This window comes from Homo sapiens, chromosome 13 (genome assembly GCF_000001405.40).
Source record: "Homo sapiens chromosome 13, GRCh38.p14 Primary Assembly".
NCBI lineage: Eukaryota > Metazoa > Chordata > Mammalia > Primates > Hominidae > Homo > Homo sapiens.
The window spans coordinates 24,134,219-24,158,080 of NC_000013.11; the positions used below are offsets into that span (position 1 = coordinate 24,134,219).

The 23,862-nt window shown below is 45.3% G+C and overlaps 1 protein-coding gene across 1 annotated transcript in view, besides 3 other annotated features; it reads left to right on the forward strand.

The window, feature by feature from the left end:
- The window catches only part of SPATA13 (spermatogenesis associated 13), a 327,268-nt gene that overhangs the window by 154,417 nt on the left and 148,989 nt on the right, over positions 1-23,862 (forward strand). The gene's annotated exons all lie outside the window — the stretch shown is intronic.
- Positions 6,897-7,765: an enhancer, noted in NCBI's record as "OCT4-NANOG hESC enhancer chr13:24715254-24716122 (GRCh37/hg19 assembly coordinates)". NCBI's record gives its function as "activates a minimal SCP1, AML or CMV promoter by ChIP-STARR-seq in naive H9 embryonic stem cells {active_cell/tissue: H9 hESC(naive)}" and the evidence as "EXISTENCE:reporter gene assay evidence [ECO:0000049][PMID:30033119]".
- Positions 8,652-8,946: a silencer, noted in NCBI's record as "tiled region #6352; HepG2 Repressive non-DNase unmatched - State 22:ReprW, and K562 Repressive non-DNase unmatched - State 21:Repr". NCBI's record gives its function as "represses a minimal TATA promoter and a strong SV40 promoter by Sharpr-MPRA in HepG2 and K562 cells {active_cell/tissue: HepG2 | K562}" and the evidence as "EXISTENCE:reporter gene assay evidence [ECO:0000049][PMID:27701403]".
- Positions 15,229-15,905: an enhancer, noted in NCBI's record as "H3K27ac-H3K4me1 hESC enhancer chr13:24723586-24724262 (GRCh37/hg19 assembly coordinates)". NCBI's record gives its function as "activates a minimal SCP1, AML or CMV promoter by ChIP-STARR-seq in naive H9 embryonic stem cells {active_cell/tissue: H9 hESC(naive)}" and the evidence as "EXISTENCE:reporter gene assay evidence [ECO:0000049][PMID:30033119]".

The following is a 23,862-nucleotide window of genomic DNA, read 5'->3' on the forward strand; positions in this document are numbered from 1 at the left end:
TTATGCAGGGAGTAATGGTAGACAGTGCCTAGTAGATTTGATATGTTGGTTTCTGGGGCTTTTCCAAGTACCCTAAAACCACACCATGAAAAGTGTAAGCCCTGGCCCCCTTCCCAGTGAGTAGTTATCCTCTGGAAGATTCTGGTGCGCTGCTCAGGGCATCGAACAAGCCCCCGGCTGACTTCTTGCTGTTGTTTATCACAGAGGCAGATGGGTGGGGGTGCGCCTGCTACATAGAGGTCGTATGGATGCCGAGAGCAGCACATCTCTTTTTGGCAGCTTAAGCCAGGCCTGGATTAGCAAAGCATCCCAATGGGAAATGCTTCCAGGAGAGAGGAAAATTGGTTTGTTTTTTTAGCACGGGGAGTAGCAGGGGAACATCAGTAGAGACCCTGGATATGCCATCTTGATAGACCAGAATGGCTTTTACTCATTTAAGAACCACTGACTTGTAAGAGCAGCTGGTCGTGACCCACTGTTCCAGCCCTCACCAGTACCAACATTGCTCCCTGAGCCTAGAAAACATGAAGGCTTTGTTCAGTGATTTTATGGCCTCAGGAGAGCTTCACTCGTTGTTATGGACAGAATGTGTCCCCCAAAATTTTGCATGTTGAAGTCCTAATTTCCAGAACGTCAGGATGTGACCTTATTTGACAATAAGATCATTGCAGAGGTAATTAGTTAAGATGAAGTCATTAAGGCGGGCTCCAATCCAACATGACTGGTGTCCTTAAAAAAGTGGAGACTTAGACACAAAGTTATGCATAGAAGGAAGATGATGTCATGAGATGCAGGGACGAGATGGCCATCTACAAGCCAGAAAGAAAAGACAGGGATAGATTCTCCCTCATAGCCTTCAGAAAGAAACAGCCCTGCCAATGCCTTGATCTCGAACTTCTCAACTCCAGAGCCGCAGGAAAATAAATTTCTATTGTATAAGCCACCTAGCTCGTGATACTTTGTTAAGGCAACCCTAACAAATGAATACACTCATTATTCGAAAAAAAAAATACTTTTTCTTCTCTCATCTTTTCCTCTGATGTGCAATAATTAGGAAAGAGACAGTACAACAATTTTGAACATATGTATTTTTGATAGAAGTTTGAAAGCTGGGTATCCTCTAAAATCATATTTGTTCACAGCAAGATTGAAAATTATATAATGTGCCTCACTTTCACTCTTTAAGAGTATTTTTAGGTCCAGGTGCAGTGGCTCACGCCTGTAATCCCAGCATTTTGGGAGACTGAGGCGGGCAGATCACGAGGTCAGGAGATCAAGACCATCCTGGCTAACACAGTGAAACCCCATCTCTACTAAGAAATACAAAAAATTAGCCGGGCATGGTGGCAGGCGCCTGTAGTCCCAGCTACTCGGGAGGCTGAGGCAGGAGAATGGCGTGAACCCGGGAGGCGGAGCTTGCAGTGAGCTGAGATCCCACCACTGCACTCCTGCCTGGGCGACAGAGCAAGAATCCGTCTCAAAAAAAAAAAAAAAAAAAAAGAGTATTTTTAGATAGAGTTTATTTTCTCCAACTATAAGCTTTTTGCTAATCCTTAGAATTACTGCTGGGTGAGGGGAACTGTAAGGAAATGCCAGTGTATTTACTGAAAGTAAATGCTTGCAAGCTTAGGATCATCTGGAGTGATTCCTCAGCCCGACCTGAGGCAGGCATATTAGCCTCACAAAAGTTTGCAAATTCAGCATAATGTGAAAGAAAAGGAGGGCTGGGATATTTATTTTTAAGTGAATCTTTTGATCTCCTGGAAACAAAGTGTTCACTTTCCTGAGCAGAATTAAGCTCTTGGTTGCCTTGAACCAGCAGCAGCCTCAGAATTTGCTCAGAGAGCATGAAGCTCAGTTGGGCTGGTGTGGGAGAGAAGTTTTCCTAAGAAGATTATTAACAGGAAATAATTCATCTGAGTTTCTGAATGGTCTTTCATTGCCAGGCCACAAAAATTCCTTATTTTTAAATAAACAATCATGTGGCTTATGCCTGTAATCCTAGCACTTTGGGAGGCCGAGGTGAGGTGGGTGGATCACCTGAGGTCGGGAGTTTGAGACCAGCCTGAGCAACATGGAGAAACTCCATCTCTACTAAAAATACAAAATTAGCCGGGTGTGGTGGCGCATGCCTGTAATCCCAGCTACTCGGGAGGCTGGGGCAGGAGAACTGCTTGAACCCAGGAGGCAGAGGTTGTAGTGAGCTGAGATCGTGCCATTGCACTCCAGCCTGGGTAACAAGAGTGAAACTTAGTCAAAAAAAGAAAGAGAAGAAAGAAAGAAAGTGAGAGAGAGGGAGAGAGAAAAAGAGAGGGAGGGAGGGAAAGAAAGGAAAGAAAGAGAACTAGGAAATGCTCAGAAAAAACTGTCAGATGAATTCTGTATATAGACTTTCCAAAGCTAATTTGATGGGCTCAGCTTTGGGGCCACGATGTTCACCAACGTTGTGGATTCTCTGGGCCTATTGGGCTCTGAGAGATAGGCCCCAGCACAAGACTGGCACATAGTAGGCCCACAGGAAATATTTAAGGAGTGTGAATGGATAAATGGATTTGGATGCAACAAGTCTGAATTGTGGATGCAAATTTGATTAAATATGTTCTTTATTTTATTTATTTATTTTTTTTTTGAGACGGAGTCTCGCTCTGTCGCCCAGGCTGGAGTGCAGTGGCGGGATCTCGGCTCACTGCAAGCTCCGCCTCCCAGGTTCACGCCATTCTCCTGCCTCAGCCTCCCGAGTAGCTGGGACTACAGGCGCCCGCCACTACGCCCGGCTAATTTTTTTGTATTTTTAGTAGAGACGGGGTTTCACCGTTTTAGCCGGGATGGTCTCAATCTCCTGACCTCGTGATCCGCCCGCCTCGGCCTCCCAAAGTGCTGGGATTACAGGCGTGAGCCACCGCGCCCGGCCTGTTCTTTATTTTTATGAGAGATAAGGTCACATGCATTAGAGACAGGTGTTGACATCTGGTAGTCACTGTGTGAACTTGGCAAAATTATTTCACCCCTTTGGGCTTCAGTTGGGGTGAAAGGCCACTGAACTGAAAGAAGAAGACATGGGCTCCAGCCCTGGGTTTGCCAGGGGCCTGCTCCTGGCTGGGCCTTTGCTGTCTCTAAGAATTTACTAGTCCAGAAAGGGGCAGTCTCTCTTCAGCCAGAAAGGATTTTTAAGATGTCAAAACACCATAATATACAGAAAACTAAAAATACTTACAACCTTCTTTACATTCTGCTTACATAATATCAAGAAGTAACTAAGTCCATGGGCAGTGGCTCACACCCATGTGATCCAGCACTTTGGGAGGCTGAGGCGGGAGGATCACTTGAGGCCAGGAGTTTGAGGCCAGTCCGGCCAACATGGTGAAACCCCACCACTACAAAAAATACAAAAATTAGGCAAGCGTGGTACGCATGCCTCTAATCCCAGCTACTTGTGCGGCTGAGACAGGAAAACTGCTTGAGCCTGGGGGGCGGAGGTTGCAGTGAGCCAAGATCATGCTAATGCACTCCAGCCTGGGAGTGACTTCAACAGAGTGAGACTGTCTCTCCAAAAAAACCCAAAAGTAACATTAAGTATGGTCAAGAAGTACTGTGCTCTTTGACTATTTTATGTGCGTCATCAGAGGTTAGGACATAAGACCAAGGAGAGTCAGAGAGATGGGTAACTAAACAGCTCTACTTGATAAAGCCTGACCCCCAGTGATGTTTGATGACTGGTTGTTATTGTGTGTTCTTGAAATTTTACTCTGCATCTTTTGAATCTGGTCAGTTGCCTGGAGATGATTATAAAAGTTTTACTGGGCCAGGCGTAGTGGCTCGCGCATGTAATCCCAGCAGTTTGGGAGGCCAGGCAGGTGGATCACCTGAGGTCAGGAATTCGAGACCAGCCTGGCCAACATGGTGAAACCCCATCTCTTCTAAAAAAAAAAAATACAAAAATTAGCTGGGCGTGGTGACGTGTGCCTGTAATCCCAGCTACTCGGGAGGCTGAGGCAAGAGAATTGCTTGAACCCAGAAGGCAGAGGTTGCAGTAAGCTGGGATGCACCATTCCAGTCCAGCCCAGGGGACAGAGCAAGACTCCGTCTGAAAAAAAAAAAAAAAACAGTTTTACTGAATTAGTATTATTAAATTGTTTCTTGTGAAGCTTGTACAAATTCTGTATTTCCTCCAGTAGGGGTTTAGTGCGTCAGTTTTCCTAGGACTGGAACTGCTATTGAACATTGATGTGATGTTGAATTTTTGCTACTTTAATAAAGGAACTGCTGCGTTGGTTTTATAAAATACATTTCTTTAATAATTAGCAAATATCCTTTTCTTATGTTAATTTAATAGTTATAATTTTTTGTTGGAAAAGATCTTTTTTTGTTTTTTAATTTATTTTAGAGATGGATTTTCACTGTGTCAGCTAGGCTGGAGTACAGTGGCGCTATCACAGCTCACTGCAGCCTTGAACTCCTGGGCTCAAGTGATTCTCCCACCTCAGCCTCCTGAGTAACTGGGACTACAGGCTTGTGCCACCACCCCTGGCTAATTTTTTTTTTTTTTTTTTTTTTTTAGAGATGGGCTCTCGCTATGTTGCTCAGGCTGGCCTCAAACTGCTGGGTTCAAGTAATCCTCCTGCCTTGGCCTCCCAAAGTGCTGGGAACACAGGCATGAGACACCATGCCAAGCCTAAAATATCTTTTCATATCCTTCATCTAGTGGAGTATTATTCAATTTTAACATCTTATTTAATAAACATGTTATTTCCTAGGGCTGCTAAAACAAATTATTATAAAGCAACATAAATGAATGCTTAAAGCAACATAAATGAATTCTCTCACACTTTGGGACGTGTCAGCAGAGTTGTGCTCTGACAGCTCCGGGGGTGCATCCTTCCTCGCCTCTTCCAGCTTCCACTGGTTGCTAGGAATCCTTGCTGTTCCTGGGTCTACACACGCATCATTCCAGTCTCTGCCTCTGTCTTCACACAGCTTTTTCCCATGTGTCTCTGAGTCCAAATTCCCCTCCTCTTATAAGGACACCAGTCAGTTTCGGGTCCACCCTACTCCAGTATGACCCCTCTTAACTGGACTACATCTGCAGGGACCCATTTCCAAATAAGGTCCCATTCACAGAGATTGAGACTCCAGCTTACCTCGTAGTGGGGGCACTGTTCAGCCCACAACAACACTTAAAAAGAAAATACAAACAGGACGTTCTGACAGAGAAGAAGCAAAAACCCACACCAATTCTCCTCTGGGATTGTATCACTGGCAGGTGACTGGTACAATTGCAGAGGAGAATCTTTGTAGGTTTATTACCATCTGTTATATTAAGGTGCTGCAGAAAGCCGTGTCCTCCAAATTTTTAACTACTTGGATTTTAAAAACATGTACATTGGTTGTTAAGATTTCAGAACACTAGTTACTAAACACCAACTGGAACTACAGAAACCCTCTCTGAGCTTGGTAAGTTAGGAAGGTGCTCTGGGTTTATTTCTCGCCATGGCACTGCTTAGCTACATGATGTAGAACGATCTGCTTAATTGATGTACCTGTTTTTGTTTTAAAATCTGTAACATGCAGGCCGGGCGCGGTGGCTCACGTCTGTAATCCCAGCACTTTGGGAGGCCAAGGAGGGCGGATAACGAGGTCAGGAGATCTAGACCATCCTGCCTAACATGGTGAAACCCTGTCTCTACTAAAAAATTCAAAACATTAGCTGGACGTGGTGGCGGGCACCTGTAGTCCCAGCTACTCGGGAGGCTGAGGCAGGAGAATGGTGTGAACCCGGGAGGCGGAGCTTGGCAGTGAGCCAAGGTCGTGCCACTGCACGCCAGCCTGGGTGACAGAGTGAGACTCCGTCTCAAAAAAAAAAAAAAAAAAGTCTGTAACATGCAAAGTATACCCATCTCTAAGGCTCCTGCCAATGCTAATAACCTAGGACTGCAAATGCCATAATAAGTTAAATCCATTGTAGGGGTACACAGTTCTTCCATGTTGTGTTTATAAATGCAAGCCTAGTCGTTTAGGTTAAAGTTCATTTATATTCAAATCATTGTAATCTGTGAACACCACGGTGGGTTCTGGGGAGGTCAAGAGCTCTGATGCATGCTGAGATGCTCAGGAAATCAGTTCATAGTTTGTTGCCCCAGCAGACAGAGAGGATATTTTCAAAATATAAAAGGTTCATTGAAGCTGGAAGTGGAACTAGTAATTCATCTATAGAGTTTTCATTTTCAAAAACCTTTATAAACAAGAAATTTAGTGGAACCTGGGTTAAGCGATTCTGGAACCCCAAACACAAGGGTCACGTGCAGAAGCAGAGCTGTTTGGATCCAAATTCAGCCTCTCCCTACAGAGTCAAACGTTCCTCTTCAAAGCTCAGTCTCATGTGTGCCCCTGCTCTTGTGCGTGTCCTTCTGAGACAGCTCTCAAGCTTTATTAAGCACACGGGACTGCAACTAATGTGGGGATTATTTGTGAAACTGCAGCGTATTTAAGTCAAAGAGCCAAGAATGTTAGTATTATATAATGAAGTGAACCCATGAATTCTGGGTTTTCTAACTTCATTAGTGATGGACACCAGGATTCACTTCTTTGATGAATGTCTGCCTTGTTTTTAACATTAAAACCAGTAAAGCTTACCTGTTTCATATAATCGTAAAGGAGAATATTTTAAAAATTAAGCCTGGCTGGCCACTGTGGCTCACGCCTGTAACGCCAGCACTTTGGGATTACAGGTGGGCAAATCACCTGAGGTCAGGAGTTCGAGACCAGCTTGGCCAACAAGGTGAAACCCTGTCTCTACTAAAAATACAAAAATTAGCCAGGCATGGTAGCGAGCACCTGTAATCCCAGCTACTCAGGAGGCTGAGGCAGGAGAATTGCTTGAACCCGGGAGGCAGAAGTTGCACTGAGCAAGATCATACCACTGCACTCCAGCTTCGGTGGCAGAGTGAGACTCTGGCTCAAAAAAAAAAAAGAAAAAGAAATTAGGTTCTACATGGTGGTTCAAGCCTGTAATTCCAACAGTTTAGGAGGTCAAGGTGGGAGGATCACTTGGGACCAGGAGTTCCAGACCAGCCTGGGCAACATAGTGAGACCCAGATAATTAATTAATTAACCCTACAGATAATTAATTAATTAACATACTGAGTGCTCTGAGGAATTCTAGTGAAGGTCACTTGTTGACGTTGGGCCTTGCTAATGCATTTGAATCTTCTGCCTTTTCCTGCTTCCCTCCCACCTGCTGTGCCTGACAGGGTCCTACTTACTCCTCAAAGCCTTCCTTGACTCCTCCAGCTGAGCTCTAATCCTTCTCTCTCCTGTGATCCCAAAACCTTCTGCATATTCCTCTGTTATAGAGCTTATCCAGATAACAATCACTAGGGCAGTCCCTGTGATAACATGAGTACTTCATGAGGGAAGGGCACGAGTCATGTTCATCCTTGCAGCCCAGCGCCTGCCACGCAGGGGGTATGGAATGGTTGTTAGTTAAGTAACAAATGGGGCTACCCATAAACATTGCTGCTTTATAGCTAGGGAGCCTCCCGTGGCTAAGAAAGATCGAGAGCTATCATTAAGTGAACGTTGTTATTTTTTCTAATTCATGCATCACTTCAAGGGTAATAATGTGCTGTCTCAGAGCAGGCTAACCATTACTTTAGGCCAGTCTGGTATTCTCCTTTTCTTCACTGCTGCCATTTAACTGGGCGTGCAAATGGAGTCAGGTCTTCATGTTGCTGTTTACTCACCTCAGTAGGGCCTCTCAGATGAACCTTGAAGTAGACTGCACAGTCTACTTTTTCCTTTTTTCCAGAAACAATCCATCAAGCTTTCAATAATTGTGGTTTACGGTCCTGATATTAGAGCAATCTTGGACAGTATTAATCATTTGTAGGGAAAGGTTTTTTTTTTTTAGCTTTTTTATGCTACAAATAGGACAGAGGGGTCTTATGTATCCTTCTCCCAGTGCCCCCCTCCCCCGCCAATATTAACATCTGACATAACCACAGTGCACTGATTAAAACCAGGATATTAACATGCATACAAAGACTATCTACTAGTCTACAGGCCTTATTCAGAATCTGCTGATTTTCCCACTTACATCCTTTTGCTGGTTCAGGTTACAGTCCAGGATCCCACATTCCAGTCAGTTGTCAAACTAAACTGTTTTCTCCAAATGTTATAGTTCTTTAGTTTTTCTTTGTCTTTCATGACCTTGACACTTTTGAACAGCACCAGCCCATTTCTCCCCCCTCAGTTTTGGATTGTCTGATGTTTTCTCCTGTTAGATTGAGGTTATGCATTTGGGGGCAGAAATATCACAGAACAGATGCTGCACCTTCCCAGTGCATGGGAAGTGTTTTTCCTTGACTTTTTTGTGTGTATATTGGAGCTTTTCTTTAAGAGGTAATTACTACTCTTCAACAACTTTTTTCCTCCTCCCCCTTTCCTCTTCCTCATCCTTCTTCCTCTTCCTCTTCCTCTTCCTTCTTTTTCCTCCCTTCTTCTTCTCCTCCTTTTTCTCCTTCTCCTTCTCCTGGCGTTTTATATTCTTTTTCTTTCTCAGGCATTTGGTAGGTCACTCAAAAAGCTTAGGCATTTGGAATCATAATTCATGGGCCAGGATTCCCTTGGAAGAGTGTTTCCCTTCCCCTGGGGAGCCCGAGGAAAGACTGGGCTGGTCATCCTCATGTCAGTCAGGGCCTTCTCCTTTCTTGCAGGGCTGAAGCAGCTCTCCATCCATGCCTGGCCTCTCACTGGTTACAAACTGCTTCGGAGGTTGGGTTCACACAGAAGCTGACCCTGAGACAATGGCTTGAGTCCAAGTTGTTTCTTTAGGAGGTGATCCCAGGAAGCACCTGCCGGGCAGCAGGCGAGAGGCAGGAAGGGAGGGAAGGCTGGTGCCTCATCTTCAGTCTCCATCCACCACTGGGTGAGGGTGCTCCCCAGGGCATTCCTTTTCTGGCATTTTGGCCTGGTCCAAACCAGAGAAAGCCTGCAGACAAGGAGTCAGTGGGCAGGAAGCAGGAAGTCTAGACGGAAGCCCCTGGTGTTTAAGGCAACTGCAAGTGCCCAGAAATATGGGAGGGAACCTACGTTGCCCCTTCCCCCTTTCTCATTTTACTTCTCCCATTTTTCCCCAATATTAAAGTAAAAATCCTAAGTAGTACCTGGAGCAGGGTTGCAAGGGGAAGGCATTAGAATAGAGGTTTTGTGTTGATAAAAATCCGCAGCTGCTGGCAGTGCTCTCATTCCTATGTTCTTTTATATTTTGGATAAATTGATAGTTACTTCTATTTTTGCAAAGATGAGTGACCGAAAGCAGAAAAGAAAAATGTGTTTTCTAACTTAAAAAGTTGCTCCTTTCCAAGTAGAAGTCTTTTTTTCCCAGGCTTTCCGACTCTGCTGCCAGTTATGGAGAGAGATGAGTGACCTGAGCTCTGGGGGACGTCCTGATACCACCCACAGGGAACCCGAAACGTCCTCCAGGGGAACCACAGAACATCTAACAGTGGGGGCTGAGCCCTTTTCAGAAACTGTCTGGCTACTTGATGCCATGTCTTGCTATAGATAGTCCCAGAGGTTCTGAGATGTGACCTCTAAGACTAGGAGAAAGGACTTACTTGGAGGAACATGTGACACTTTCTCTCTGGCCAGATGACCTTAGCCAAGTTATTCTTCTAATGTCCTCATCTGCAAAATGGGAAAAAGAACACCTATCTCATGTGGTTGCCCTGAAACCACAGGGCATATGATGAGAGGTCACAGGTGAGAAAGGCCGCCCAGGGTTGGCCAGAAACACTCAAAGCACGTAGAGTGGGGAGAACAGAGAGCCTCCCACCACACCCCCGACTGTGAATGTTCATGAGCTGAATGTGCACTAACTCAGTGGCCCCAGTGGGATCTGCAAGGTCATTATTGTGATCCCACTTCTCAGAGCAGAAACTCAGTTCCCAAAGATGCTAAGCCCCTGCCTCTTGGGATGTAACTGTAGGTGGGCGAGTCAGGACTTGGATCCAGTCTGTCCAATGCTGTGATCCACTCTCCCACATGCCTCGTGTACGTCACAAACATCACACCAAAGGGCGAGAGCGGGTACTCATCTTCCCCTGCCCCACCTTCCCACATCAAGATGGATAATGAAAGAGCACTTGTAAACTCTTTTCCATGCCCAAGAGACAAGATGAGCGAATGAAACTAACATCACTCAGCACCTTCTGTGTTCCAGGAACTAGGCCAGGTGCTACCCAAAAAGTTTCCTATTTAAGAAGCGTTGGAGGATGGCAAAACCCAGCTCTCCTTCCTGGTTGTCGCACAGCGTACACAATGCACAAGCACTGGCCCAGACAAACTTTGATCAGGCACCGCTGAGCAGCTCTTGGGGGCTCTTTGGTGCCTGCAGGTTGCTGCCATTGTGCCCCTCACTCAGCTCCGTCCGGGTTGCAGCACACCAGCCCCGCTGCAGCAGCCACCGAGAGAGGATCCCACCTTTCAGACTTTGGCCAGCGTGGCGTAGTTGGTGTTTTCTTGACCAGGGTCGGAAGAGGCAGAGACTAGGGTTCCAGGTTCTGGTGGCAGCCTCGTGCAGTACGGTATGCTGAGCAAATCCTTGCACCCTCCTGGCCATCCACCTCCTTGCCTTTGTCTTCCAGTTTCTGCTCAAAGCTTTCCCCTTGGCCTAAGATGCTGCCCACTTTCCAATAAATCCTTCATTACTTCCAAATTTGGATGAATATTTCATTAGACCTATGATCAAATGGAGGGTGAGGACACAGAGGTCCCTTGGGTAGTGATAAGGTGGGAGGCAGGTAGAGGAAAGGGACATTGTGAATATAGTTAGAATGAGCTGGTACACTATTTCTGAAGTGGGCAAGTCAAAGGAGACTGTCGTAGCCACCTTCTTTTCAACTTCCTGGCAATACTGACATCACTTTGTAATTTAGATGCTGGGGGTGTCAGAAAGAGACAGTGTGAAAGGCACTTGATTAAAATGTGTAAATCCTACTGCCCTGAAAGAATCTGATTTTTTACAACAGCCACAAAATACTAAGTAGACAGAGGCAAAGGTCTAACTTCATTTTTCTATTGAAGGTATTAATTAGGGCTGTTACTAACAGTGGTGGCATTGTGAAAGAGTCAGAGGATTCCAGCCAAACAGGACTTTTCAGGGGCTTTGAACAAGGTTTAAAGTATGTCCCTGCAGGGGAAAGGAAGCTGTCTGTAGCATCCCTACCAGCACGTTCCTCTGATTGTTCTCAGTTCATGTGAGTCCACAGAGGACATAAACCGAGTGAGCTGGTAACAGATGTAATGAAAGTACTCCAGGCCTCAGTAAGAAGAGTCAGAGGGGTGGCATTGGTGCCTGAATAACAGCATTTGTGTAGCTAGATTAGAACAAAGCAGGGACTGGGGAACTCTTCCTGCAATTCTCAACTTACAGTTTGGGGAATGAAGGTATTAGTAACTGAGGTGAGGCTGAGGCAGTGGAAACATAGCTCAGGTGGAGAGAATTGTGCATGATCAATAAATAGAGAACGGCTAATTTTCAAATTGGTGATGCTGCTAGGAGGGCGTGAAGGAGACTAAGACAGGAAAAACATCCTTGTGGACAGCATTGGCCAAGACTTCACGGCGGAGACAGAGCACAGCTGGGGCTTGGAGGAGAGAGAGCTCTATGCTGATGGAGGGAAGGAGCCTATTCCATATGTGAGAAAGAAGGGGGACGAGCACTCCCGACCAAGTCAACAGGCATAGACTGCGGGGGCCAATCTGTCTGCAGCTGAATGTGGTGAGGAGTGGCAGACACTTGGACTGAACAGGTAGCACAAGGTCCCTCTCTGGAGAGCTTTGGCAGCCAGGAAGAATTTGGATTTGGGAATCTTTGCTGATTAAGCAGGAGGGGAGGATGATACACAGGAGAAATGGTATTTTAGGCAGCACCTATCCACTTTCTATTTAGGATAGAGGGAGTCTCAGTCAACAGACTTTGAGTATCTTGATCCCATTGGCAAAGCCAGCCTAATTCATAGATCAGCTTCAGGGACTGAAGCCAATTAAATCGGGGCACTCCAGCTTCACTGACAAGGCTGTTCCCATTGTGAAAGGGAGGTCAGACTCTGTAAGCCAGATACAGTTAGTCCTCCAATTTCAACTCCTCTCCCTGCGGCCAGGCCAGATCACCGAGTACCCTTGTGATCGTTAGCTGCTTCCATGCAGGCAGGCCTGCAAGAAATTCGTTGGCTTTCATTTAAAGATAGGAATTGGTAACTAAAATTGCTAGGGCGATACATAACTAAGTACTCTATAATCTTATCTACATAGATAAGAAATAATACATAAACCTGTATGATAATTAACACAGAGGAAAGTAGGCTATAAATAACCTCTAAAATGTTCTTTTACAGGGCACTAAGGAAATGGAAATGCACAGCAATTTAAAAAAAATGCCAATACTTCTCTTACTTGTCACAGGTTAGAGATATGTGAATGCCATGATTATGTTATACATTTAATTAGTATATACCTTTGTGTCTAAAGCATTTTCCATCGTGGTCGGCTATGCTTCCTGCAGTCTCAAATGCCCTCTACACACTACGGAATATCCTATCTCCCAGATGGACTGAGATTTCTTTACCACCGCATCCGTCCCCGCCCCACCCCTCCCCCACCAATTTTGAACATTTTACAAGCTCCAGTCTTTTAAAAAATCTCATTCAGGCATGATTTTTTTTTCCTAGAAAAACTATGCCTTTCACTTAGAAATAAAGAGAAGAAAACATCTTGGCGAGTCTTGAAATATGTCAATAAATTCATTGCCCAATAGGCCTCTGGATGAGTTTATTATTTTCCGCTGCCCATAACTCCAAGCATGCATTGGATGGAAGATGATATCTGATTGTTCAGATAATTTTTTTCTTACCATCAAGAATGGAATGCTTTTTCCACTTATAATTAAAATTGTTTCAAGAAGACTACTCTGATTAATTGGCCTGGTGGTATGTGTGATGCATGTCTCGTACTTTAGGCAGAACAGGATGCAGAGAAGGTGGAAAGGAGATAGAATGATGACCGTATTGAGTAACTGGGCCATGACAGTGAGTGTAGTCTGCTTTGCTAAATGTGAGTTTCTGTAATTTAGCTTGTAGGTGACTGGTAAATAGGGGCAGAGTGTCACCATCATGTGAAAGTTGTGCTGATTCATAGCAATTTCTGCCCTACACGTTAATGCTGGCCAAGCTTGTCTATCCACTCTCTTCTGTGTGCTCCCTTCTCCGTTGGAAGTGGTGATTGCTCGGTGCTCTCAATCTGGGAGCATTTTGCCCTTGTCTTCATATCTCAGCAGGGTCAACTCTCAAGCTGTTAAGCCCCTTCCAGGAAGCCACCCACACCTTTTAAAAAAACTTGTAGTAAATATACAGAACAAAACGTACCATCTTAACCATGTTTAAGTCTATTAAGTACATTTATATTGCTGTGCAACCAACACCACCATCCATCTCCAGAGCTGAAACTGAAACCCTGTACCCATTAAACATTAACTCCCCGTTCCCTCCACACCCCTAGCCCCTGGCAGACACCATTCTACTTTCCTTTTCTGAGCTTGACCGCTCTAGATACCTCATATCAGTGGAATCGTACGGGATTGGTCTTTTTGTGATTGGTTCATTTCATTTAGCGTAAGGTCCTCAAGGTTCATCCATGTTGTAGCATGTGTCTGAATCTCCTTCCTTTTAAGGCTAATATTCTATTGTATGTATACACCACATTTTTTTAATCCATTCATCCACCACTGGACACCTGGGTTGTTTCTGTCTTTTGGCTTTTGTGAATAATGCTGCCATGACTATGTTGCGTACAAATATCTGTTAAAGATCCTGCTTTCAGTTCTTTTCCGCATACACCCAGGGGTAAAATTGTTGAATCATATCATTTCCCATATTTTTAAAAGACATTCCTGCACAGCATTTGCAGTTGTAGTTCCTTGCTAGGAATCTAATGTGCCTTTTCAACTGCCTATGTCTTTTGATTACGATCGTTACTATTGTTAGGGCTCTGGTGATGAAGTCCTCAGGGTTCAAGGGGTCTCAGTCCTACTTTCATGAGCCCCGTTGTCTTTTGTGCACAATTTCACAGAACACAAGGCTTTTTTGTTTTTTTATTTTTTTTTCCTGAAATGCATACATCCCATCAGAGCAGAAATGGCCATAGGGTTGGAATAAATAGGCTGGGGTATAACCCTGTGCTGTATTACCTAATTACCTCAGAAAAATGAAACCATCTCAGTTTTCTGCTCCTTAACACTGCCTCCCAGGGTACCTGCAGGAGTTTCTGACCTGAAGCATCAAACACAAGCCCTTGGTGTACACATAACCAGTGTGATACGTTAGGAGTTTAATATGGTTGACCAGAGGCTTTTAGTCAGAGGGAGAACTTGGTTGAAGAGTTGAGAATCTCTGCAAGGAACTGGCTCAGTCTTTTTCTTATGCCTACAACTGTTGGCATTGTACACAAGGCTTAATGGACCAAACACATCAGACAAGTAAAACACCTAAACAGGAGCATTCTGTCCTAGCAATGAGTGTGTGTCCAGAGAGATCTGGAAAGCTTGAGGAAGGCAGGGAGGGGTAGAACAAGGGAAGTAAGGACACAGGAGCTGCTGTTCATTCTGGTAGAGCGGCTTGTTTATTATTCATGGTTTCCATGAGTGTTTGTTTATACCAGGAAATGCTCTCCTATGCATGCCACATGAGAGCAGGGCTCTGTGACTCAGGGTTGGTGACTGGGCTTGGAGGAATGTAGGCTCCGTCCACAAACAAAGGAGAATGAGGATTTGAATGTCACGGTAAACTTATTTGTGACTAAGGAGGTAGTGGGCAAAAGGGGGGCAGGAAGAAGCCATGGGGCAGATGAAAGAGGCGTCCTGTCTGCCCCCTGCCTGTTGCCATCACACTGGGTCGTTTTCCACATTGCTGATCACTGCAGTGTGTTCCAGTGATGGGCTTTATCTCATTAGTGAGTCCTGAAATGAATTTAGCAAATTTCCACCAGAATTAAATACAACAACCCAAGAGAGAAGAGAGAACACCGAACACACCCCATGAAGTAAAGGTTGGCATCGTTTGTCATTCTCTTTATGTTCTCATATGTGAGATCGTGGGGGTGAAATACGCATCTCACTGTGGGCTGTGGTCGGAAGTTTGAAAAACACCCTGGCATTTTGCCTGTCTTCTGTTCCTGGACCTTCCCTTTCTGTTGGTGAGAATTTTGTGTCCAAATCTGGCCAAGGGTGGACTCTGAAGAGACAATCCCTGGTTGACTCTAGTGTTCATTAGAGGAGTTCTGCTGCCACTTTTTCAGGAATCAGAGATGCCCTGAGGCCACCTAACACTCCTAGATCTTCTGTCACTGTGGTGTAGTGCAGCGTCCTGAATTTGGAGCTAAAAGCTTGGATTTGAATCACTGGAAATGGCTGATGGGGGCGGGAAAGCTCCCACCCATGTGGGGAAGAACCCAGAGGGAGAGCGGCTTGTACAAAGGCCCTGCGGGGCGGATAGAGCTGGAGAGCTGCGGGTCAGGTTGTCACAGGCCTTGCATGACATGCAAAGAAACTTGAACTCGGTTGTGTGGGTGCTGAGGCCTGACAGGAGTTGGGGGTGTTTCAGAAAGAGCTCTTGGGCAGCAGGAGGTGGTTGGGGAGGAACACAGAGATGGGAAGGCCTGCATCCAGGGGCTGTCGGGGAGGGAGAGAGCTGCTGTGCCACAGGGTGGCTGTGGGGAGGGAAGGGAGAGTGTGGGGCATGGGAGAGTCGGGGGACTGTCCCACAGAAAGCTGGTATCTGCCTGACTGGTGGCCAGGTGTGCAGCCTGGAGGAGACGGAGCTGGGCAATGCTGAGATTCTTAGGTGGACTGATGGGGGACAGTCACATTAGAACATGGTGGGCCAGACCCTCTGTCCTGAGACACATTGGCTCTACAGTGCCCGTCTCCCGTGCTCTCCTCCCACAGCCTCCACTTCTCCAAACACCCTGGGTTTCTCCCTGCCCAGCACCAGTGCACCCACCGCATGTCCTCAGTGCTCTCAAGTGGCATCACTGCTGCACAGCTCCTGCCAGTCCCCTAGAGAGCAGCCTGCAGCCTCAGTGGCATGGCAGTGCATCTCAGCACTGGGAGTTCCAATCCTATGAGATGTCACCGACTGGCATGGGTGCCCTCTGGGGAGACCTGGTTCAGGCAGGACCTCCTTTTTAAGGCTGTTTCTAACTTCCCATCCATCCTGAATTAGTCAGTGTTCTCCAGAGAAATAAAACCTATAGGAAGTATAGAGAGATAAATATTGATTGATTTTTTTTTTTAAGGAATTGCACACAAATTTGAGGGCTGGCAAGTCCAAAATTTGTAAGTAGGCCAGTAGGCTGGAGACTCAGGTAAAAGTTGATGTTGAAGTCTTGGGTCCAGAATCCACAGGGCAAGGCAGGCCACAGCAGGCTGGGGATTCAGGCAGGCTTTTGTGTTGCAGTCTTGAGGCCGAAGTCCTTCTTCCTCAGGGAACCCACATCTTCTCTCCTATGACTGTCCCCTGATTGGACAAGGCCCACCCACATGGCAGAGGACTCTCTCCTTTACTCAAGTCTAGTGACTTAGCTGTTAGTATCACCTAAAAATACCTTCACAGCCACACGGAGACTGCTGTTTAGATGTGTTTGCTGTCTAGATGCTGTTTGACTGGGCGCCATGGCCCAGCCAAATTGATGCATAAAGTTAGGCATTACAAAACCCCCACTAAAGAGTTGACAAGTCCCTGTCTGGGGTCTTTGCATATTTTAATCCATTCCTACAGGAATCCTGCGAAGATTCATAATCCTCATAATTTTACAGATGATAACATTGAGATTCACACAGATTAAGAGGCTTGCCCCAAATCACACAGTTCTGGAGACAGAATCCAGGAGATGGCCCTCAGACCCAGATGCTTCCTCCCGCAGTGCTGAGCTATCTGTGCTGTGATTGTGGGCATGCGTCCTTCAGCATTCAGGTTACATCAGGACTTTGAAAGACAGGCAGATCTTGGTCTGAATCCTTGCTCTGTCAAACACATGGGGCTGAGGACCCGGAACCATTTGTTTAACTCCTGGCTCAGTTTCCCCATTTGTAAAATGAAAATAATGATAAACTCTCCCTGGTTTTAATGATGAAGTGAAATATGCAACACAGTGCCTGGCTGTTAGTAACCATGCACTAGACAATAATAATGGCTGTAATATTGAATGTTTCATCATTTACAACCAACTTATTTGACAGAGAATGAAAATACCCAGTTATATACATGAAAGTCCTGTCTCTGTCAGGGTTTTGTAATAAACATTTCAAATTATGAATAGATGTCCATTACTGGAGTTTTTTTTCCTTTTTTTTAAGAGTGTTGGGTCTGGAACTCAACTGTCCAAGTTCAAACACCAGCTGTGGGTACATCACCAACCTACCAGAGAGGGCTCAGCTTCCTTATCTGTAAAATGGTAATATTAGCAGTTCCTACCATTTAGGGTTATTGTGAGGATTAAATGAGTAAAACATGTAAAATGCTTAGAACAGAACCTGGCACATACTAGGTATTTAATAGACTTTACCATTTTTACCAGCTGCATAGTCTTTAACAGTACTAAGCAGTATAGATGCTTGATTAATTTAGCTAACACTAGTGAATTGATATTGCCCAGGATGAGGGCTGCAAAGGGAGAGAAAGGCATAAAGCTGTGAAGATGTGGTTCAGTTCTCAGGGAATGCCTGGTTTTCTAAAGGTGGCAGGGCCTTCCAGGAGCAGCAGACACAGGCAGAGTGTGATACGTGAACACACTGAACAGTCTTAGTCTGTTCAGGCTGCTGTAACAAAATACCTTAGACTCAGTAATTTATGGACAGCAGATATTTATTTTCCCACAGTTTTAGAGGCTGGGAAGTCCAAGATCAAGGCACCTGTAGATTCAGTGTCTGGTGAAGACCCTTTTGCATGGATAATGCCTTGTATGTGCCCTCACTTTGTGGGAGGGGCACGGGGACTCCCTCTGCCCCTTTTATAAGGGCACTCCTCCCATTCATGAGGGTGGACACAAGCTTTCTGACTCTAGCACAAGGCACAGCCCCAAACAAGGCACAGGCCAGGTGCCATGGGACTCAGTGGTTCCTGCTCAAGGACATGGCCACTTTCCTCTGTGCCTACTTCACAGCTCTGTCTGACACCCATCCTGTCACATTGTGTGTAACGACCTCCTCTTCCGCCTCTTTGATAAGCTCCACCAGGGAGGTCCTCCCCAGTGAGGTCTTGCACAGCGGGTGTTCTATGCCAGTGAGGGAATAAAATCATGAAAGCATTCCAGCCCCACAGCTCCCACATCCCCGTCTGTGTGACCAGTGCTTTCAATCACAGCAAAATGATGCCCATGGCCTTTTCAAAGTCCTGCTGTGGAAGATGTCTCTCTCTGTCACTCACCATCACCCGTTCTTCAAATATGAGCTGCTCATTCATCAGGCTTGTGTTGGATGGTCACTCTGAGCAAGGCGCCAGAGACAAAATGCAGAGCCACTCCAAGTCCTTATCATGGAGGAATTGACAGGTCTTGAAGCAGCTTTCTCTCTCTCTCTCTTTCTCTTCCTCTCCTCCCTCAAATGTTCAGAACTCAAATGATGATTATTTCTTTTCTTTCTCACTTTTACATTTTACATTGAGACTTTCACCTCCGTGTAACCTTTAAGTACACCCAATACACAGCGTAGCTGAATGTGACAAAGGTCAACATGCAAAACAAAAGCAGTGTTGTGCGTGTGTGTGAGAAAAATGTCTATGTTACGTCTGTGCTCATGTCTACTTAGGACCTCTGAGTTGGGACTTGGGCATCCTCTGTGGATGGTGTCTCTTTACTCTGATTTTATCATCTGCATCTCCCCATCATAAACATTACGTCCACATACAGACACATTAGCTGCCTGGCAAAGGAGCTGTCATGCTGGTCTGTCTCATGTATGTTTAGGGTTTCCAATAGGCCCTGGTGGTCCTGGCACCTCTGATGTGGGTGCCCCATTTTCCACCTGCAGTCCTGTCTTTGGGCTGTGTGGCCCACGTGGCTGGCCTTCACTCTGTGCACTTCCTCCTCACTGCCACCAGCACACTCTTCTCACACTCCATTTCATTGCCTAAAAAGGAACTTGTTCTTGTCAGGTAGACAAGGAATAAATAATAGAGCTAGGGTTCTGCTAGTACATGACAGAGAAGTGAAGACATTGACAATTTAGGACTCAGCATGTGTAAAGTACACCCTTCAGATGACAAAATCAGTGAAGGCAGCCAAGGCCACTTTCAACAGAGGACACGTGGTAGAGAGAATGATCCACGGTACGCTGCAAGGAAAACTGTAGGTCTAGGGTAAAATAATCACAGATCCCCTACCCATGTCAATTGCAATTCCATTTATCTCTGAAGCCATATGTATGAAGAGCACATACTTTATGTGGATCTACACAGGAGAACAGAGTCTAAAAGAGGAGGTCATTTTGAAATATCCATGGAGATTGATGACCACTAAAAATTACTGGGAAGTGGGCTGGTGAGGTATAGTGAGAGAGTGGAGTTTGGAATTCATCCCTTGGGGTTGGAATCCTAGCCCAGCCACTTCTAACAATGTGACTGAGCTGCTTAGTGGAAATAAATATCCACCCTTTATCAAACAAGTGTTATCTTATGAGGACATTTATGTATGTTCTCACCTAATGTTCACATCAACTCTGAGCGGTGGGAACTATTGTTATCCCTATTTTTATGATTAGAAAACTGAGGCTAAGACAATACCAAGTTTTAGTGAAGGTGGGGGACCATGTAGAACTCTCTTCTACCACTTGTGGGAGTGTAAACTGATACAAGCATTTTGAAAAAAAAAGCTTGGCCGTAGCTACAGAAGGTAAACATATGCACACCTGATAGTCTGGCAGTACCACTCCTGGGTAAATACCCAACAAGAGTGTGATTTTTTTTCCACTAAAAGCATGTTCATGTCCTGGCCACATAGTAACCAAAAGTAAAACAATCTAATTGTCCATCAACAATAGAATAGGACATAGTATATTCAAACAGCAGAATACTACACAGCAATGAAAAAAATGAACAAGTGTTACACAGAGCAACATGGATGAATCTCAGACATACTGTTAAGGAAGTCAGACACAAAAGTATACATCCTGCATGACTCCATTTATATGAAGTTCAAAAACAGAAGTAATTTATGGCAATAAACATTAATGTTTACCTTTGGGGTACTGGGCATTGCTAACGGGGGGGAGGGGCACATAAGGGAGTCTTTTGAGGCGCTAGAAATTTTCAGTATTTTCATGTTGTATTAGTTTTCTATGATGTGGAACAAAGCACCACAGTGTGTTAAAAACTATGCACATTTATTTTCACACTTTTAAGCGAGTTTCCAGGGGTGAGGAGTCTGGGCACAGCTTAGCTGGCTCCTCAGCTCAGGGCCTCATGAGGCTGCTGCCACAGTTGGGCTGGGCTGTGTTCTCATAGAGAAGCTTGACTGGGGGAGAATTTGCTCCCAAGCTCATTCTTAGTGTCGACAGAATTCACTTCTTTGGAGCTGTGTGACTGATAGACCAGTTTTGTTTGTTTGTTTTGAGACGGAGTTTTGCTCTTGTTGCCCAGGCTGGAGTGCAATAGCATGATCTTGGCTCAGTGCAAACTCCAACTCCCAGGTTCAAGTGATTCTCATGCCTCAGCCTCCCTTGTAGCTGGGATTACAGGTGTGTGCCACCATGCCCAGCTGGTTTTTGTGTTTTTACTAGAGCCAGGGTTTCACCATGTTGGCTAGGCTGGGCTCAAACTCCTGATCCACCTGCCTCAGCCTCCCAAAGTGCTGGGATTACAGGCGTGAGCCACCTTGCCCGGTTGGTTATTATTATTTCTATATTACAGATGAAGAAACTAAGGTTCCAAGCAGTTTGCCCAAAGCACCCAGCTAGTGAAAGATGAAAGGGGGATTCTATGAAAGGTCTATGTGCCTCTGTGGTGCTCCATCCCCAGTGACAGAGATCTGTCACGGAAGAACTTTAGGGCCTACTGTGTAATGATGGAGTCCAAGTGATAAACCAAAAATTGACAGATGAAGCTATCAATCATGAAAATTTAATAAAGAAGACAGGTTTTTCAGGAGTTACTCAATTAAATCAAAGAGAATACTGCTTGTGAAGGATGGCTCTGGTAAAGTGGTCTGCATCAGTGCTAGTCCACACACACTCTCGGTGCCTAGATTCATTATTTAAAGTGGGACTGATGGGCAGTGGGATGGAGTGGAAGCTTACAGGGCTTTCAGAACCAAGCCAGAGTCAGTGAGTGGCAGAGACAGCTCTTTACTGCAAAATCCCAATGGCTTTCTGCAGATTCTGGCCTGCAGATTAGAAAATGGGACATTTTTAAAAACTGTGGTAAAATACACATAAGACTTACCATTTTAACAATTTTAAGTGTGCAATTCAGTACATTAAGTACATTCATATTGTTATGCAACCGTCACCATCATCCATCCACAGAACATTTCTCATCTTGCAAAACTGACATTCTGTCCCCATTAAGCAGTAACTCCCCACTTTCCCACTGCAGCCTCTGGCAATCACCATTCTACTTTCTGTCTGTGAATTTGCCTACTCCAGATACCTCATATAAGTGAAATCCTACAGTATCTGTCCTTTTGTGATGGGCTTATGCATTTAATGTAATGTCCTCAGGGTCCACCTGTGTTGCAGCGTGTGTCGGAATTTTGTTCCTCTTTAAGGCTGAGTGATATTCCATTGTATGTATTTACTACATCTTGTTTATTCATCCATCCATTGATGAATACTTGGGTTGCTGTCACCTTGTGGCTGTGTGAATACTGCTGCTATGAAAGTGGGTGTACAAATATCTGTTCGAGTCCCTGCTTTCAGTTCTTTTGGGTATATCCCAGAAGAGGGATTGCTGGATGATACGGTAATTCTAGTTTTTTGATTTTTGAGGAATTGCCATACCTGTTGTCCACAGCAACTGTGAGGACAGCGTGAGACCGTTTATTCTCCTCTTTTGCCTGTAGCTGCCCTGCCCATTCGTATTCCCCCCTCCAAACCCAGGTGTGATGGGGGCCCTGTCTCCGAGCAGACAGGGAGGCACCGTAGATGGCACACTGGATCTGGCTCCTGGCCCACCCCATCTGTACTCTAGTCCTTTGGCCTTGATGACCCATTCCTGGAGGCAAAATGCTTTCCTCTCTGTGCCTCAATTAATTGGGTTTCCCAGCACCCCAATAGCCAAATAGATACTTATGTGCTAAGATAATGTGATAAATGCCAAACATTATTCTGTCATCCTAGGAAGCTTCAAATTAGAGAGAGATCTGCTCTAGTAAACTGTAGAATAAAATATAGCAAACGCACCTTATCCATTCTAATCAATGATAGCCACCAGTTATTGAGCATTTGACCACGTGCCAGGCAGTGAGCTGGGACTTTACATACATTATTACACTTAATTTTCACCATAAGATATCACAGATAAGGAGCCGGTCAAAGTGAGGTTATGAAGTTTTCCTAGAACCCACATGGACAGAGAGCAGAAGAGGCTCAGGTTCTCTCCTGCTCTCTTGGGTCTTGCCTTATGTGCCAGAGGCATCTGTGGTTCAACCAACCCCCTTTTGTCCCCTGCCACCTTCACAACCAACAAGATGCTGGAGGCTGCTAGATGAAGATAAAAATGTCAGTGATATTACTGACAAAATCATCTGGAGAATGAGTGCACAATTGTTGCTAATGATCTCTGAGTGACCTCCCAGCTCCTTTGCCTCTGCTTCCCTAACCCGGTCTAGACCTTAAGTTACTTCCTCCAGGTGAAAGTCTGGTCTGTGGCATCCAGACACTGACCGCAGATTTCTCCCAGCCGTAGTCTGGGCGGAAAGGTTAAAAAAGAGTGAATACTCTGTGCTGTTAATAAATTAATAAATCAGGTTATTCTATCAAGGGAGTCTACCAATGGATTTCTCCAACCAGTCAGGTAACTCCTTTTTCTTTTTTTTCTTTTTAATATATTTTTTTGAGATGGAGTCTCGCTCTGTCACCCAGGCTGGAGTGCAGGGGCGCGATCGCGGCTCACTGCAAGCTCCGCCTCCCGGGTTCACGCCATTCTTCTGCCTTAGCCTCCGGAGTAGCTGGGACTACAGGCGCCCGCCACCACGCCCGGCTAATTTTTTTTGTATTTTTAGTAGAGACGGGGTTTCACCGTGTTAGCCAGGATGGTCTCGATCTCCTGACCTCGTGATCTGCCCGTCTTGGCCTCCCAAAGTGCTGGGATTACAGGCGTGAGCCACGTGCCCGGCTGGTAACTCCTTTTTCTGCAGTAGAGGGTGGGGCGGAAGCCATACGGGTTACTTTATAGGAGCTCCTCAAAGAAAAAAAACTGAAATGAGGAGAAAGGAGTTTCCTTTCTGCCCTGTACCTCTTGAGAAACCCCTGCTGAATGGAACTTTCAGCAGATGGAATACAGCATTGCTTCTCCCCAACCCTGGGGGAGCTCACAGCACTGCTTTGTTCAGAGCATTTTCAAACAGGAGCATGAGATCAAATCCTGGCTCCACTGCTCACCAGCTGTGTGACCTCAGATGATTCGTTCAACCCTTCTAACTTCATTTGCCCCATATATAAAATGAGAAGGATAACTGTACCTCAAGGATTGTCTTGAGGATTTAAGAAAATGATGAATGTAAACAACGTGGCATAAGTGTCCAACAAATATTAAGGGAAAGACACATTCTAGTTTTGGAGATGTTATGTGGAACAACAACAAAAAAAGCGCGTTAGAC